Below are 19,524 nucleotides of genomic sequence, written 5' to 3'. Positions count from 1 at the left end.
CTGAGGATGATGGCTTCCAGCTTCATTTATGTCCCTGCAAAGGACATGATCTCATTCTTTTTTATGGCTGCATAGTATTCCATGGTGTATATGTACCACATTTTCTTTATCCAGTCTATTATTGATTGACATTTGGGTTGGTTCCATGTCTTTGCTATTGTAAATAGTGCTGCAGTAAGCACATGTGTGCATGTGTCTTTAGAGTGGAATGATTTATATTCCTTTGGGTATATACCCAGTAATGGGATTACTGGGTCAAATGGTATTTCTGGTTCTAGATCCTTGAGGAATTGCCACACTGTTTTCCACAATGGTTGAACTAATTTACATGCCCACCAACAGTGTAAAAGCATTCCTGGCTGGGCGCGGTGGCTCATGCCTGTAATCCCAGCACTTTGGGAGGCCAAGGTGGGCGAATCATGAGGTCAGGAGGTTGAGACCATCCTGGCCAACATGGTGAAACCCCGTCTCTACTAAAAATACAAAAAAATTAGCTGGGCGTGGTGATGCGTGCCTGTAGTCCCAGCTACTCAGGAGGCTGAGGTAGGAGAATCGCTTGAACCCTGGAGGTGGAGGTTGCAGTGAGCCAAGATCATGCTACTGCACTCCAGCCTGGTTACAGAGCAAGACTCCATGTCAAAAAAAAAAAAAAAAAAAAGTGTTCCTAATTGTCCACAGCCTTGTCAGCGTCTATTGTTTCCTTTTTAATACTCGCCATTCCGACTCTCGTGAGATGATATCTCATCATGGTTTTGATTTGCATTTCACTAAAGATCAGTGATTATGAGCCTTTTTTCATATGTTTATTGGCTGCATAAATGTCTTCTTTTGAGAAGTGTCTGTTCATATCCTTTGCCCACTTTTTGATGTTTTTTTTTCTTGTAAATTTGTTTAAATACCTTGTAGATTCTGGATATTAGCCCTTTGTCAGATGGGTAGATTGCAAAAATTTTCTCCCATTCTGTAGGTTGCCTGTTCACTTTGATGCTAATTTCTTTGGCTGTGCAGAAGCCCTTTAGTTTAATTAGATCCCATTTGTCAACTTTGGCTTTTGTTGCAGTTGCTTTTGGTGTTTTTGTCGTGAAGTCTTTGCCCATGCCTATGTCCTGAATGGTATTGCCTAGGTTTTCTTCTAGGGTTTTTATGTTTTTTGGTTTTACATTTAAGTCTTAAATCCACCTTGAGCTAATTTTTGAATAAGGTCTAAGGAAGGAGTCCGGTTTCAGTTTTCTGCATATGGCTAGCCAGTTTTCCCAGCACCATTTATATAGGGAATCCTTTCCCCATTGCTGGTTTTTGTCAGGTTTGTTGAAGATCAGATAGTTGTAGATGTGTGGACTTATTTCTCTGTTTAATGGAGGTCTGTGTTCTGTTCCGTTGGTCTATATGTCTGTTTTGATACCAGTACCATGCTGTTTTGGTTACTGTAGCCCTGTAGTATAGTTTGAAGTCAGGTAGCATGATGCCTCCAGCTTTATTCTTTTTGGTTAGGATTGTCTTAGCTATATGGGCTCTTTTTTAGTTCCATATGAAATTTAAAGTAGTTTTTTCTAATTCTGTGAAGAAAGTCAACAGTAGTTTGATGGGAATAACATTGAATCTATAAATTACTTTGGGCAGTATGGGCATTTTCACGATATTGAGTGTTCCTATCTGTGAGCATGGAATGTTCTTCCATTCGTTTATGTCCTCTCTTATTTCTTTGAACAGTGGTTTGTAGTTCTCCTTGAAGAGGCCCTTCATGCCCCTTGTTAGCTGTATTCCTATGTATTTTATTTTCTTTGTAGCAGTTGTGAATGGTAGTTCATTCATGATTTGGCTCTCTGCTCGTCTATTGTTGGTGTATAGGAATGCTTGTGATTTTTGCACATTGATTTTGTTTCCCAGACTTTGCTGAAGTTGTTTATCAGCTAAAGGAGTTTTTGGGCTGAGACCATGGGGTTTTCTAAATATAGGATCATGTCATCTGCAAACAGAGACAATTTGGCTTCCTCTCTTCCTATTTGAATACACTTTATTTCTTTCTCTAGCCTTATTGCCCTGGTCAGCACTTCCAATACTATGTTGAATAGGAGTGGTGAGAGAGGGCATCCTTGTCTTATGCCAGTTTTCAAAGGGAATACTTCCAGCTTTTGCCCATTCAGTATAATATTGGCCATGGGTTTGTCATAAATAGCTCTTATTATTTTGAGATATGTTCCATCAATGCCTAGTTCATTGAGAGTTTTTAACATGAAGGGATGTTGAATTTTATTGAAGGCCTTTTCTGCATCTATTGAAATAATCATGTGGTTTTTGTCATTGGTTCAGTTTATGTGATGGATTATGCTTATTGATTTGCATATGCTGAACCAGCCTTGCATCACAGGGATGAAGCCAAGTTGATTGGTGGATAAGCTTTTTGATGTGCTGCTGGGTTCAGTTTGCCAGTATTTTATTGAGGATTTTTGCATCAATGTTCATCAGGGATATTGGCCTGAAGTTTTCTTTTTTTGTTGTTGTGTTTCTGCCAAGTTTTGGTATCAGGATGATGCTGGCTCAAAAAATGAGTTAGGGAGGAGTCCCTCCTTTTCAATTGTTTGTAATAGTTTCAGAAGGAATGGTATCAGCTCCTCTTTGTACCTCTGGTAGAATTTAGCTGTGAATCTATCTGGTCCTGGGCTTTTTTTGGTTGGTAAGCTATTACTGCCTCAATTTCAGAACTTGTTATTGGTCTATTCAAGGATTGAACTTCTTCCTGGTTGAGTGTTGGGAGGGTGTACGTGTCCAGGAATTTATCCATTTCTTTAGATTTTCTAGCTTATTTGCCTGGAAGTGTTTATAGTACTCTCTGATGGTAGTTTGTATTTCCGTGGGTCAGTGGTGATATCCCCTTTATCATTTTTCATCTATTTGATTCTTCTCTCTTTTCTTATTAGTCTAGTTAGCAGTCTATCTATTTTATCAATTTTTTCAAAAAACCAGCTCCTGGATTCATTGATTTTTTTTTTTAAGGGTTTTTTGTGTCTCTATCTCCTTCAGTTCTGCTCTGGTCTTAGTTATTTCTTGCCTTCCGCTAGCTTGTAGATTTGTTTGCTCTTGCTTCTCTAGTTGTTTTAATTGTGATGCTAGGGTTTTGATTTGAAATCTTTCTAGCTTTCCAATGTGGGCATTTAGTGTTATAAATTTCCCTCTTAGTACTGCTTTAGCTGCATTCCAGAAATTCTGGTACATTGTCTCTTTGTTCTCACTGGTTTTAAAGAAGTTTTTGATTTCTGCCTTAATTTCATTATTTACCCAGGAGTCATTCCGGAGCAAGTTGTTCAATTTCCATATAGTTGTGTGGTTTTGAGTGAGTTTTTAAATCTCGAGTTCTAATTTGATTGTAATGTGGTCTGAGAGACTATTTGTTATTATTTCAATTCTTTTGCATTTGCTGAGGAATGTTGTATTTCCAATTATGTGGTCTATTTTAGAGGAAGTGCCATATGGCACTGAGAAGAATATATAATCTGTTGTCTGGGGGTGGAGAGTTCTGTAGATATCCATCAGTTCCGCTTAATCCAGAGCTGAGTTCAAGTCTTGAATATCCTTGTTAATTTTCTGTCTTGTTGATCTGTCCAGTATTGACAGTGGGGTGTTAAAGTCTCCCACCACTATTGTGTGGCAGTTTAAGTCTCCTTGTAGGTCTCTAAGAACTTGTTTTATGAATCTGGGTGCTCCTGTATTGGGTTCATATATATTTAGGATAGTTAGCTTTTCTTTGTGAATTGATCCCTTTACCATTATGTAATACCCTTCTTTTTTTATTTTTTTATTTTTATTTTTTTAGATGGAGTCTCGCTCTGTCACCCAGGCTGGAGTGCAGTGGTGTGGTCTAGCTCACTGCAACCTCCACCTCCCGGGTTCAAGCAATTCTTCTGCCTCAGCTTCCCAAGTAGCTGGGACTACAGGCGCATGCCACCACACCCAGCTAATTTTTGTATTTTTAGTAGAGATGGGGTTTCACTATGTTGGCCAGGCTGGTCTTGGACTCCTGACCTCATGATCCACCCACCTCAGCCTCCCAAAGTGCTGGGATTACAGGCATGAGCCACTGCATCCAGCCATGTAATGCCCTTCTTTGTCTTTTTTGATCTTTGTTGGTTTAAAGTCTGTCTTGTCAGAAACTAGAATTGCAACCCCTGCTTTTTTCTGCTGTCCATTTACTTGGTAAATTTTCCTCCATCCCTTTATTTTGAGCCTATGTATGTCTTTGCACATGAGTTGAGTCTCTTGAGTACAGCACACCAATGGGTCTTGACTCTATCCAGTTTGCCAGTCTGTGCCTTTTAATTGGGGCATTTAGCCAATTTACATTTAAGGTTAATATTGTTATGTGTGAACTTGATCCTGTCATCATGATGCTAGCTGGTTATTTTGAACACTAGTTGATCCACTTGTTGGTTGATGGGCATTTAGATTGGTTCCATGTTTTTGCAATTGCAAATTGTGCTGCTATAAACATGCATGTGCATGTGTTTTTTGTTTTGTTTTGTTTTGTTTTTTTCCATATAATTACTTCTTTTCCTTTGGGAGATACCCAGTAATGGGATTGCTGGATCAAATGGTAGTTCTGCTTTTAGTTCTTTAAGGAATCTCCATACTGTTTTCCATAGTGATTGTACTAGTTTACATTCCCACCAGCAGTGTAAAAGTGTTTCCTTTTCACTACATACATGCCAACATCTATTTTTCTTTTTTTATGGCCATGCATGCAGGAGTAAAGTGGTATCTCATTGTGGTTTTCATTTGCATTTCCTTGATAACTAGTGATGTTGAGCATTTTTTTCATATGTTTGTTGGCTGTTTGTACATCTTCTTTTGAGAATTGCCTATTCATGTCCTTTGCTCACTTTTTGACAGGATTATTTGTTTTATTTCTTGCTGATTTGAGTTCCTTGTAGATTCTGGATATTAGTCCTTTGTCAGATACATAGTTTGAGAATATTTTCTCCCACTCTGTGGGTTGTCTGTTTACTCTGCTGATTATTTCTTTTGCTTTGCAGAAGCTTTTCAGCTTAACTAGGTCTGATTTATTTATTTTTGTTTTTGTTATATTTATTTTTTGTTGTTATATTTATTTTTGTTTTATTTTGTTTTGCTTTTGGGGTCTTAGTCATGAATTCTTTGCCTAAGCCAATGTCTAGAAGAGTTTTTCCGATGTTATCTTCTAGAATTTTTATGGTTTCAAGTCTTAGATTTAAATCTTTGATCCATCTTGGGTTGATTTTTGCTTAAGGTGAGAGATGAGCATCCAGTTTCATTCTTCTGTTATGTGGCTTGTCAGTTATCCCAGCACCATTTATTGAATAGAGTATCCTTTCCCTGGTTCATGTTTTTGTATGTTTTGTTGAAGATTAGTTGGCTGTAAGTATTTGGCTTTATTTCTGAGTTCTATATTCTGTTCCATTGGTCTATATGCCTATTTTTATACCAGTACCATGCTGTTTTGGTAACTAAAGCCTGATAGTATAGTTTGAAGTTGGGTAATGTGACACCTCCAGATTTATTCTTTCTGCTTATTGTTGCTTTGGCTCTATGGGCTCTTTTTTGGTTCTATATAAATGTTAGGAATGTTTTTTCTTTGAAGAATGATGATGGTGTTTTGATGGAAATTGCATTGAATCTATAGATTGCTTTTGGCAGTACGGTAATTTTTACAATATTGATTGTACCCATCCATGAGCATGGAATGTGTTTCCATTTGTTTGTGTCATCTGTGATTTCTTTCAGCAGTGTTTTGTAGTTTTCCTTGTAGAAGTCTTTCACCTCCTTTGCTAAGTGTATTCCTAAGTATTTTATTTTATTTTTTGCAACCTTTATAAAAGGGATTGAGTTATTGAGTTGATTCTCAGCTTGGCTGTTGTTGGTGTATAGCAGTGCTCCTGATTTATGTACATTGATTTTGTATCCTGAAACTTTACTGAATCCATTTATCAGATCTAGGAGCTTCTTGGAAGAGTCTTTAGGATTTTTTAGGTATATGATTATATCATCGGTGAACAGTGATAGTTTGACTTCCTTTTTTCCAATTTGGATGCCCTTTATGATAAGTGTGAAGACAGTGAAGACCAAAGGAACTCAGGATAGGAAGAGATTCCCAAGATGAGGTTGGAAGAGCAGGTAGGATTTAACTTGAGCTTTGAAGGATAAAGAGTATTTAAATAGTGAAGATAATGTTTTACACAAGTGGTAGCATGAATAAAGATGTGAATTTGGGAATAAATACAAGAGGTATATTCAAAGCAAGCAAATAGACCAGCCCAGTTGGAAGAGATGACTCAACAATGTTGCAGTCAAATGCCCAGTTAGTTAAGAACTACAAAGTAAAATATTTCAGTAAAGGATCATTTGACAAAGCAAAAGACCCAGACCCTCATAAAGGCTACCAGTCTCCCCTGCTACAGAAAAATGCAGAAAATACATAATGTCTAGTCTTTGAAATGAAGCTTACAGGGCAGGAGAAGCAGGTCTCTGGAAAAGGTTGGGTGTCAGGGAGAATTTACCTGCAAAATAAAAGGAAAGAAGGAAGGTTAAAGAACCTAGAATGCATTGTAGATTCACTTGTATTTTCCAATATTTTGTATAAACAGAATCATTTAATATGTTTTATCTTTTTGTCTGGCCTCTCTTACTCAGCATAATTATTTTGAGATTTATCTGTGTTGCTACATGTATCAATAGTTTGTTCCTTTTTACTGTTGATAAAAGATTCATAATCAGAATAAATTTAAAACTCCCAAAATTCAATAATAAGAAAGCAAACAACACAGTAAAAATGAAGTATTTTAAGATACTTCACCAAAGAAGATATACAGATGGTAAATAAGCACATGAAAAGATGCTGAATATCATTAGTCATTAGAAACGTGCAAATGAAAGGCACAGTAAAATACTACTACACACCTATTTGAATAGCTGAAATTAAAAGTACTGAGCTTACCAAGTGTTGATAAGGATGTAGAGGAACTGGAACTTTCATACACTGCTGGTGGGAATATAAAATGGTATAACCATTTTGGAATACAACTTGGCAGTTTATTTGTTTGTTTAGGTTGTTTTTACTCACCACTATGCTAACGAGGAACTTGGCAGTTTCTTTAAAAGATAAACATATATCTCTGGTCCGTGCCTCCAAGATGACAAAGAAAAGAAGGAACAACGGTCATGCCAAAAAGGGCCGCGGCCACGTGCATCCTATTCGCTGCACTAACTGTACCCGATGCGTGCCCAAGGACAAGGCCATTAAGAAATTCGTCATTCGAAACGTAGTGGAGGCCGCAGCAGTCAGGGACATTTCTGAAGTGAGCGTCTTCAATGCCTATGTGCTTCCCAAGCTGTATGTGAAGCTATATTACTGTGTGAGTTGTGCAATTCACAGCAAAGTAGTCAGGAATCGATCTCGTGAAGCCCACAAAGACCGAACACCCCCACCCTGATTTAGACCTGTGGGTGCTGCCCCACGTCCCCCACCAAAGCCCATGTAAGGAGCTGAGTTCTTAAAGACTGAAGACAGACTATTCTCTGGAGAAAAATAAAATGGAAATTGTACTTAAAAAAAAAAAAGTTAAACATACACCTACTGTGTATGTTAAACATATACAACATGGATGAATTTCAGAATAATTATGCTGAGTGAAAGAAGTTAGAAATAGAGTACATACAATACTTTCTTTTACTGTACTAGAAAATGCAAACTAATCTATAGAGACAGAAGGCAAATCAGTGGATGCTAGTGGTGGAGGTGAGTGGGGAGAAGGGGAGGGGTGGGAGGGAGGAATTACAAAGGGGCACAAGGAAACTTGAAGGGAATGGACATGTTCATTTTCTTGATTACGGTGAAAATTTCACAAGTGTCTACATATATTAAAACTTACCAAGTTGTACACTTTGAATACAGTTTACTGTATGTCAGTTACACCTCATTAAAACCTTAAAAAAAGTTACTTCCATACATTGGAAAATAATGTAGCAGTTAATAAAAATGAGAGATCTATGTATACTGAAATCAAGAGATGGGTATGATATATCATTAAATGAAAAGAGCAAGCTGAAGAGAATTTTCTCCAGTATGACCTCATTTTTGTTAAGAAATTATTGTACCTGTGTTAGGATACAAAATCAATGTGCAAAAATCACAAGCATTCTTATATGCCAATAACAGACAAACAGAGAGCCAAATCATGAGTAAACTCCCATTCACAATTGCTTCAAAGAGAATAAAATACCTAGGAATCCAACTTACAAGGGATGCGAAGGACCTCTAAATAAAAGAGGACACAAACAAATGGAAGAACATTCCATGCTCATGGATAGGAAGAATCAATAGCGTGAAAATGGCCATACTGCTCAAGGTAATTTATAGATTCAATGCCATCCCCATCAAGCTGCCAATGACTTTCTTCACAGAATTGGAAAAAACTACTTTAAAGTTCACATGGAACCAAAAAAGACCTTGCATTGCCAAGACAATCCTAAGCCAAAAGAACAAAGCTGGAAGCATCACGCTGCCTGACTTCAAACTATACTACAAGCCTACAGTAACCAAAACAGCATGGTACTGGTACCAAAACAGAGATATAGACCAATGGAACAGAACAGAGCCCTCAGAAATAATACCACACATCTACAACCATCTGATCTTTGACAAACCTGACAAAAACAAGAAATGGGGAAAGGATTCCCTATTTAATAAATGGTGCTGGGAAAACTGGCTAGCCATATTAGAAAGCTGAAACTGGATCCCTTCCTTAGACCTTATACAAAAAATAATTCAAGATGGATTAAAGACTTAAATGTTAGATCTAAAACCATAAAAACTCTAGAAGAATACCTAGGCAATACCATTCAGGACATAGGCATGGGCAAGGACTTCATGTCTAAAACACCAAAAGCAATGACAACAAAAGCCAGAATTGACAAATGTGATCTAATTAAACTAAAGAGCTTCTGCACAGCAAAAGAAACTACCATCAGAGTGAACAGGCAACCTACAGAATGGGAGAAAATTTTTACAATCTACCCATCTGACAGAGGGCTAATATCCAGAATCTACAAAGAACTCAATCAAATTTACAAGAAAAAAACAACCCCATCAAAAAGTGGGCAAAGGATATGAACAGACTCTTCTCAAAAGAAGACATTTATGCAGCCGACAGACACATGAAAAAATGCTCATCATCACTGGCCATCAGAGAAATGCAAATCAAAACCACAATGAGATACCATCTCACACCAGTTAGAATGGTGATCATTAAAAAGTCAGGAAACAGCAGGTGCTGGAGAGGATGTGGAGAAATAGGAACACTTTTACACTGTTGGTGGGACTGTAAACTGGTTCAACCATTGTGGAAGACAGTATGGTGATTCCTCAAGGATCTAGAACTAGAAATACCATTTGATCCAGTCATCCCATTACTGGGTATATACCCAAAGGATTATAAATCATGCTGCTATAAAGACACATGCACACGTATGTTTATTGCGGCACTATTCACAATAGCAAAGACTTGGAACCAATCCAAATGTCCATCAGTGATAGATTGGATGAAGAAAATATGGCATATATACACCATGGAATACTATGCAGCCATAAAAAAAGATGAGTTCATGTCCTTTGTAGGGACATGGATGAAGCTGGAAACCATCATTCTCAGCAAACTATCGCAAGGACAGAAAACTAAACACCACATGTTCTCACTCATAGGTAGGAATTGAACAATGAGAACATTTGCACACAGGAAGGGGAACGTCACACACCGGGGCCTGTTGTGGGGTGTGGGGAGTGGGGAGGGATAGCATTAGGAGATGTACCTAATGTAAATGACGAGTTAATGGGTGCAGCACACCAACATGGCGCATGTATACATATGTAACAAACCTACACGTTGTGCACATGTACCCTAGAACTTAAAGTATAATAATAATAATAATAATAAAAAGAAATTATTGTACCTGTGTTACATGTATATACACCTTTGCTTTTATATATAGAGAGAAAAGTCTGAAAAGGTCCACATTATCCTGATAATGGTATTTACATCAGAGATGGGAATGGGGATGAGAGGGAGGGTAGAGATGTAACTATATTTTATATGCATTGGTATTGAGTTTTAATTTAAAAAAAAAATGCCCCCTTCCTTATGTACCTATTTCCCATCTTGCTATCTACCTGATGGCAAATTCTGTATTCTTTAATACTGATTCCAACTTCTCAAAATTTTGAGTTCTACCAAATCTTCCTCATCTTTGTGTCCTCAGTTCACAGGCCCAGTGCCTGATAGATATAGGTTCCCACTAAATATTTAATGAGGCAGGTGGGTATTGGTTTCTTCAGCACCTGTGACCTCCATCCCATTGTATGCAAAGTAGAAAGGCATTGGCTCTATGTTTGTGTTTTTTGTTAGTCACACAAGTAAGAAACTCAGGCTGGTGTTGTGGCTCACTCATGCCTGTAATCCCAGCAGTATGGGAGGCCAGGCAGGAAGATCGCTTGATGCAGGAGTTGGATTTACCAGCCTGGGCAACAAAGCAAGACCCGTCTCTACAATAATAATAATAATAATAATAATAATAATAATAGTAATAATAACAATAATGTAATTTAAAAATTTTAAAAATTAGCTGGGCGCAGTGATATGCACTTATAGTCCTAGCTACTCAGGAGGCTGAGGCCGAAAGATTGCTTGAACTCAGGAGTTTGAGGCTGTCAGAGGTTTTTCCAGAGGCTAAAAAGGTTTTTTTTAAAAAAACCTTGTTATAGGCTGGGCACGGTGGCTCACACCTGTAGTCCTAGTGCTTTGGGAAGCCAAGGCAGGCGCATCACCTGAGGTCGGGAGTTCAAGACCAGCCTGGCCTATATGGTGAAACGTCATCTCTACTAAAAATACAAAAATTGGCTGGGTGTGTTGGCACGTGCCTGTAATCCCAGCTACTCAGGAGGCTGAGGCAGGAGAATCACTTGAACCTGGGAGGCGGAGGTTGCAGTGAACCGAGATGGTGCCACAGCACTCCAAACTGGGTGATGGAGTGAGATTCTGTCTCAAAAAATAAATTAATAATGAAAAATGAAAACAAAACAAAAACTAATTTACTAATAACAGTAACCAACTGAAATATTCATTATAGCCAAAAAGAGAGGTAGGCATCCTGGAGTTACAAATATAAATTAGACTCAATAGTAGAAAGGAAGATTTAATTGAAGTTACTTCAGTTATTAGCTGATATGCCTATAACAGCTATATTTTATCTTTTCTGAGACTCACATTTTTATTTACCTATTAACATCTCTGAAATCATGACATTTTTACAGTTTGTGCATCTTAAAATTGTAGCTGAAAATGTTTTTTCTTTATTACTGGTACAGAAAATAATAGCATATTGGATTTGATGAAATAGAATAATTATAATTTCAGAGTACTTAATCTTTTTTTAAGTACTCAACTTGATTTATTTACGAAGTGTAATATGTCCACCTGCCCAGCACTCTAGTCAGGAGCAGAACATTGCAGACCCCAGAAGCCCTTAGGTCCTGTTCACCTTAATTACCTCCTCCCAAGGAAAACCAAAGTCTTCAAAGTACTTAATCTTAATTTGTATGCTGGTTATTTATTTATTTATTTATTTTTGAGACGGAGTCTCACTCTGTTGCCCAGGCTGGAGTGCAGTGGCCTGATCTCGGCTCACTGCAAGCTCCGCCTCCCGGGTTCACGCCATTCTCCTGCCTCAGCCTCCCGAGTAGCTGGGACTACAGGTGCCCACCACCACACCCGGCTAATTTTTTGTATTTTTAGTAGAGATGGGGTTTCACTGTGTTAGCCAGGATGGTCTCGATCTCCTTACCTCATGATCTGCCCACCTCGGCCTCCCAAAGTGGTGGGATTACAGGCATGAGCCACCGTGCCCAGCCCGTATGCTGTTTTGAGAACTATTACTAATACAAAAACCAAAGGAGAGAGAAAAAATTTAAATGATTTTCCACTGCCATACATCAGGGCTAACCTATAGAACATTTTTTATATTGTCAGAAAAGCATTACTTGCTAATAATTGATAAATGAACAATGTACATAGAAAGTTGATCCAGGAGGAAGTACATGTGAGCATACAGGAAAATATTTAACAGTTAAAAAAATACAAATGCAAACAATAAAGTAATGTTTGGACCTATTAAATTAACACCAAAGAAAACAGAAAGAAAAGAAACTTAAGATAACACCTAGTCCAGGTAGCATTGTATATTAATATTTGTTTGGTTGTCTGTTTATTTTTTAATTTCTCTCTTCTGCCCTTTTTTTCCCCTGTTCCTTTTTTCCTGCCTGCTTTTGGATAAATTGAATAATTTTTTTTTTTTTGAGATGGAGTCTCTCTGTGTTGCCCAGGCTGGAGTGCAATGGCATGATCTCGGCTCATTGCAACCTCTGCCTCCCAGGTTCAAGCGATTCTCCTACCTCAGCCTTCCGAGTAGCTGGGATTATAGGCATGCACCACCATGCCCAGCTAATTTTTGTATTTTTAGTAGAGACGGGGTTTCACCATGTTGGTCAGACTGGTCTTGAACTCCTGACCTCATGATCCGCCCGCCTTGGCCTCCCAAAATGCTGGTATTACAGGTGTGAGCCACCGTGACCAGCCTAATTGAATAATTTTTTGTATCCAATTTTTACTTCCTCTACTGGCATTTAGCCATACATCTTTGCATTCTGTTTTAGGAATTATTTCAAGGCAATAGTTTCAAACATTTTGGTCTCAGGACCCCTTTACACTCTTAAATTACTACGAACCGCAAAGACTTCTTATGGATATGGATTATGTCTATTGATATTTTCTGTATTAGAAATTAAAACTCAGACATGAAAACATTTATTAATTCCAAAACAATAATGAATCCATTACATATTAACATAAATGACATATTTTAATGTAAATGTATATTCCCAAAAGTGTAATGCAAAGAGTGGCATTGCTCTAAATGTTTGCAAGTCTCTTTATAATGTCTGCCATAATGGAAGAAATTGGATTCTCATATCCTCTTGCATTATATGAAGATAATTTGGTCTCTCACAGATATGTGCTTATAAAGGAGAGGAGTTTTTTTGTTGTTGTTGTTGTTTTGAGACAGAGTCTCGCTCTCTTGCCCAGGCTGGAGTACAGTGGCGCGATCTCGGCTCACTGCAAGCCCCGCCTGCCGGGTTCATGCCATTCTCTTGCCTCAGCCTCCTGAGTAGCTGGGACTACAGGCGACTGCCACCATGCCCGGCTAATTTTTTGTATTTTTTAGTGGAGACGGGGTTTCACCGTGTTAGCCAGTATGGTCTCAATCTCCTGACCTCGTGATCCGCCTACCTTGGCCTCCCAAAGTGCTGGGATCACAGGCATGAGCCACCGCGCCTGGCTGGAGAGGAGTTTTTAATAGCCTTTATCAGATAATTGTGGGGTTTTTTTTGATATTACACTAAATCTCAATAGTGGTAGTTTCTTAGTTGCAATATGGCATATGAAACCATATCACGGAACTTTTTATATTCTGCCATATATATATATTTTTTTAAGACCGGGTCTCACTATATTACGCAAGCTGGCTGTGAACTCCTGGGCTCAAGCCTTTCTCCTGCCTCAGCCTCCCGAGTAGCTGGGACTACAAGACTGCTCCACAGGGCCTGGCTCTATATTCTGCCATATTATGATACACTGGTATACCTTGCACTTTGGATAGATCCTTTACCTAGGCATGATTTATAACATCATGCATGGATAATTTGGAAAATATTGGTTCCCTGTTTGATGTAGATCTTCTAAATGTTGACACATTTTATTATAAAATATTTAAAAATCACATTTGTTAATATCACCACCAGTCTCATCAGGAAAATCTGTATTGGGAACCTATCAAACTCATGGTGGTGGACACAAGCTTTCCAGAAGTCTAATTTTTGCTTGGAAGCACAAAATTTATTTTTGCAAACACATACTGTAATTTGTTTTTCTTAATGTGATAGGCTCATTTTGTTTACTTTTGAGAAACTATATGCCACATACCCAAGTCTAAATAACTATAGCTTTATCAGTAGTTGCTCTTTCAAGTAAAAATAGCATTCCATGAAAAAAGCAGCTAGTTCAGCTCACAGTTCATATGAGTACTTTTCCTCAGTCAAGCCATCCATTGTACTTCAGTAAGAAGTGCATGCTTTCCATCTTGTCACATAGACTGTTAAAAAGATTTGTACCCAAGGGTCAATATTTCATAAAATTAATAGTTTTTACTGCTTCATCAATCAGCAAAATTGAAAATTTTTTAATTGTTTCATTTTTGTAAAAATTGTTATATTCTTTGCTGCTCACTGGATGGTGGCAGAGAATATGACAATTAACACATTTTGGTGCCACTGCCTTCTTTCATTCCAAGGCAGTTGTAGTTTTACCCCTCATTGTTTTTATACCATCACTGCAAATGTCAACACAGTGAAAGAGCAAAACACAGTATTGTTATGAGAATAGTTTCGATTTAGTGGTCCACCTCAAAGGGTGGACGACAGTTTGAGAACCACAGCTCTAGACATTACAATGTGCTTTGTCAACTTAGTATAGTCTACTTAGAATTAATGTTGTGCCACCTAGCATAAAATTAAGAACCTTACAACAATATGTTTCTACTTGTCATCCCTCCAACATTTGTGATATTGTTGTCATACAGTTTACCTCTATATGTAAATGCTATAATCATTGTTTTTACTTTTGCTATATATAGTTAGTTGAGTTTTTTAAAATAAATTTAAAGTTTTTAAAAAGATTATTTTATAATTACCCACATATTTACCACTTCTGGTCTCTTTTTTTCACCCTGTAGATCTGAGACTCCGTGTGGTCCCCTTTTCCTTTAACCTGAAGATCTTTAACATTTCTTGTAGTGCAAATTCTGCTGGTAACAAATTCTCTCAAATTTTGTTTATCTGAAAATGTCTTTATTTTACAAATTTGAAAGATCTTTTTACTGCATGTGAAATTCAAGGTTGACACATCCCTCCCATCCCCCTATGCTGACATAAGATCTCCTTGCTTTATCTTCTTGCCTTCATTATGATTGTTTCTGATGAGAAATCAGCTGTAGTTTGCATTTCTTTTCCCACTGTATATGGTAGCTACTTTTCAAATTTATCTTTATCTTTGATTTTTATCAGTTTTCTCTGTATTTATATTGCCTGGGGTTTGCTGTGTTTCCTGCCTGGATCTATTGAGTATTTCTTTTTCTTCTTTCTTCTTTTTATCTTCAAATTTGGAAAAATTTTAGTATTTCTTTATTATTATTTTTAACTCATTTTGTCTCTCTTTTCTACTTCTGGGCTTTCAATTTATGTGTTTGTTAGACCAATTGGTATTATCCCACAGGTTACTGAGACTCACACTTTTTTTCAATCTTTGTGTCTCTGGTCTTCAATCTGAATAATTTCTACATCTGTCATTAAGTTTACTGACCCATTCTCTCCAGTGTCTGTCAGCTGTTAACCCTCCCAGTTTTTTTTTTTTTTTTTTTTGAGACAGGGTCTCACTCTGTCACCCAGGCTGGAGTGGTGTGATTATGGCTCACTGTAACCTCAACTTCCCGTACTCAAGCGATTCTTCTACTTCAGCCTCCCAAAGTGCTGGGATTACAGGTGTGAGCTACCATGCCCACCTGAGCCTACTCAACTCTTTATTTCAGATAGTGTATATGGGTTTGTTCTAGAATTTCCTTTTTTAAAAAGAAGTTTTCATTTTTTTCTGAGATTTCTTCCATCTGTGCATTCATTCTGTCCATCTTTTTCTTTAAATCTTTCAACATATTTTTCAATACTGTTTTAAAGTCCTTGTGTACTAATTCCAATATTTGGTTTTCTCAAAGTCTATATTTATTGACTGACTTTTCTCTTGATTTGCATGTCTAATAGTTTTTGATTATATGGTGGACATTATGGATAATATCTTCTATGCAGTCTGGATTATGTTGCCTTCCTTTAAAGATGTCGAGTTTTTTCTGGCAAGTGGTTAAATTTCTGCCAGTTCCTTCTTGGATCAGGTTTGATTTTAGGTGTTGTTTGGGTGGGACTATTTTGATAATATCCTGAGTCTAGTGTGGTTCTTGTTCCTATGGCATGGGATTTCTAGGGTCTTAACTAAATACTCAAGATGCTCAGATAGATCTTTCCACTGTGGCTTAGCCAGAACTCCAATGTCACCAAGCACTGTACTACCTATCTTGTCAGTTCTCTCTTCTCCATCCTCATTCCTAGAATCCTCTCTCTTCTACTAGATCCTGTGGCGACTCTGCCTGTAGATGAGCAGCTAGCACTAGCTGAAAACCTTAGGAGAACTCTTGTAGACTTCAGGGGCCCTCTTGTCTGTCCATCTCCCCTTTAGTATCCTGTTGCACAAACCCTCACCACCTCTGCAACTCTGAACTCTGATCTCTGCCTTCTCAACTCATGAAACTGCCACTCAGTGAGACAGCCTCTCTGCACCACAGTCTAGAATGTGTCCCCAGACAGAACAGGTGGATGTGGGGACTCACCTTTTGTGTTTTTCTTCTCTTAAGGATCAGTCTTGCACTGTCTGAAGTGTAGTCCAGTGTTTAAAAGCAGTTGCTTTATATATTTTATCCAGTTTATAATTATTTGTGGCAGGAGGGTAAGTCCATTGCCAGGTACTCTGTCATGGCCAAAATCATAAGTCCTATACCAGAGTTTTAAGTCATAATTATGTTGAAGATTTTGTAGTATATAGAAAAATGTGTGTGTTTGTTTGTAACTATGTAATAAATATGACTTTGTGTTGGAGAAACCAGCCCCATACCACCTGGCGGGTACCCAGATTCCAGTGGAGACAAAGGAATTAGAAAGAAACTGAATAAGAGTTTAAAAGGCGGGTCCAGGGGACCAGAGCATCAGAGGCTTGCTCACGGCCCTGAGCTCTCGGCCTCCACCCAATTTATTGGTTTACAAGCTCTTCGTTCTTAGGGCAAATGGGAGGGGTAGGAACGGATGAGGAAGAGGATTAATCAGTGAAGGAGAACTCATGAGTCATTTAATAAGATGTATAGCATTGGCAGTTTCTGTGAATTTCCTGGAGCAAAGTAGTCTCTATACTACTTAAGATCTTTAACTTATCGGGACTAAAATGAGTGGGAGTGGGTTTCAGGAGAAGCCAAGATGTTTGATTATACTCCACTGCTTCAAAGGAGTATTATTTCCCCGAGCAACCTGTGGAATGCCGTGGAGCTGTTATGCTCTTGGGGCATAAAGACAGGAAGGCAATAAGGAGACTTTTCTCCTCAGATGCCGCCCATGGCTCCCCATGGGTGTCTCACACAGGGGAGACCAACTCATCTGGCATCCCAGAAACTCTCTTCCCCACACTTTGTTATAGAATTAAGAATTATTGAAATCGTTTTAGGCTGAAAGTAATAAACTATTTTTTCCTTTAACCTAAGAATAAATATTTTCTTTTTAATTCCCTAGTCATCTAATACATTTGTCAAATTTGTCAAATATCATTGACTTATAGAACAAAATTGTGTCCTATAGTGAGGCCATCACATACATAGTAAATGACAAAGATAGGAAAATAGTTTATATTGGGTACTTTGGTTTATATCTGATTATTAAAAGTTGTAACAGGAAGCAACACTACATTCAGCAGAAGTTTCTCTAGGTAAGATTATCAAAAACTTTAGTATCCAACTTAAATAATTGGGGTGTGTGTGTGTGTGTTTTAACTTTTCCAAATCAAACCAAATACACAATTATTTAGATTACACATTGCCATCAACTAAAAGCTAAATCAAGGAAACATTATTCAATTGTACTATAGATATGGAAGGAATAAGAAATATATATAAACTATGTATACAAACAAATTATAGGGCATGTAAAAATTTGTTTTACTCAAAAATCTTCTATTTTTGAGGTTTTTTTCTCAAATTCAAATTTTTGTGAAAAGTATATTTTGTACTTTCTGCCCAAGTTTCTTTTTTATGTCTTTCCTTTTTTAAGAAAACATAACTTCCTTCTTATTATAAGGGTTGATGGCTTTTTCCTCAAGAAGGGTAAAGTTTTAAAGACAATTGTTGTATGTCTTAAACATAGAGTACAGGTTTTACATATAGTTTTTAAAAAATTATCTCTAGTTGAAGCTGCTTTACGATATTAAGGAAATTTAAGATAGTTTGTTCTTACTCCTATTCAAACATAATTGGTTTTAGTTCACCACTTAGAATCTTCACCCTGTGTGTATATAATTTTAAACAGTTGTAATTATAATACATATATAATTTGGCCGGGCGCGCAGTGGCTCGCGCTTGTAATCCTAGCACTTTGGGAGGCTGAGGCGGGCAAATCACCTGAGGTCAGGAGTTGGAGACCAGCCTGGCCAACATGGTGAAACCCCATCTCTACTAAAAATAAAAAAATTAGCCGGGTATGGTGGCACATGCCTATAATCCCAGCTACTCAGGAGGCTGAGGCAGGAGAATTGCTTGAACACGGGAGGTGGAGGTTGCAGTGAGCCAAGATTGTGCCACTGCACTCCAGCCTGGGGAACACAGCGAGACTCCATCTCAAAAAAAAAAAAAAGATATATATATATATATATATATAAAATTTGGGGATGTACTTTTTTAACCTCATTTTATAAATACTTTTCCATATTGTCATGTAATAGTCATATTTATTATCTTAATGTCTGCATAATATTCCTTTGATTTACTATAATTTTTTCATTCCCCTATCACTGAAGTTGTTTCTAATTTTTTGCTATTAATATTATATTTAGTGTTCCAGTGAATATCTTCATACAAATATTTCCCTGTACAGAATTTCTTAGTTCTTTCAAGTTACTTCGTTTCAGTAAGTTCCCAGAAGTACAATTTATTGGCCAAACTCTATAAACCACTTTTTTCCTTTGGTTTTTATTACTGTTAAATACTTGATTATTTCCAGTTTGTTTATTATTTGTTTCTATGCTTAAATTCTATAGTTGTATTTATTACTAATAAAAAGTTGTATGATTCTTATTGTCAGCTGTTGGGTTTTGGGATACGTGAATCCAGTTCTTCTAAAATAAAGAACTGCCATAAAGCAGCAGGGCTGGAGGAAGTCCCCATAAATACAGTAGGAACATTTTATAGGTTTCTGTGGGGATTCTGTAACTGTGGTGTAAAAAAAAAAAAAATCTGTTCTGCAGGAACTTAGGATATACTATTCCCCTCACTTAGCAGTTAAGAAAATGAAGTAACATAAAGAACAGTGTAAGGAAGTTACAGTTAAGAAATAACTAAATCTATTAAATAAGAAATAGCAAGTTAAACTAAAAGCTTAAATGCTTAAAGCGGAAGACCACATATACTCTTACTGTCTCACAGCTTGATTCTTCCCAGGGAAATAGATTGTTCTATTTTCTTTCCTATAAGTGGTAGAAATTTGTAGATGAAAAACTCATCCCTAGCCTTAGAAATACTGTTTTTTCAATAAATAAC

The 19,524-nt window shown here is 37.3% G+C and overlaps 1 protein-coding gene and 1 pseudogene across 11 annotated transcripts in view; both read left to right on the top strand.

Moving 5' to 3' along the window:
• METTL8 (methyltransferase 8, tRNA N3-cytidine) overlaps window positions 1-19,524 on the top strand; it is a 119,027-nt gene that overhangs the window by 52,334 nt on the left and 47,169 nt on the right. The window lies entirely within an intron of this gene.
• Window positions 7,140-7,577, top strand: RPS26P20 (ribosomal protein S26 pseudogene 20; annotated as a pseudogene).

Source organism: Homo sapiens, chromosome 2 (assembly GCF_000001405.40).
Source record: "Homo sapiens chromosome 2, GRCh38.p14 Primary Assembly".
NCBI lineage: Eukaryota > Metazoa > Chordata > Mammalia > Primates > Hominidae > Homo > Homo sapiens.
Note: the sequence above shows the minus strand (reverse complement) of the source record. Positions and strands in the feature narration are given on the sequence as shown.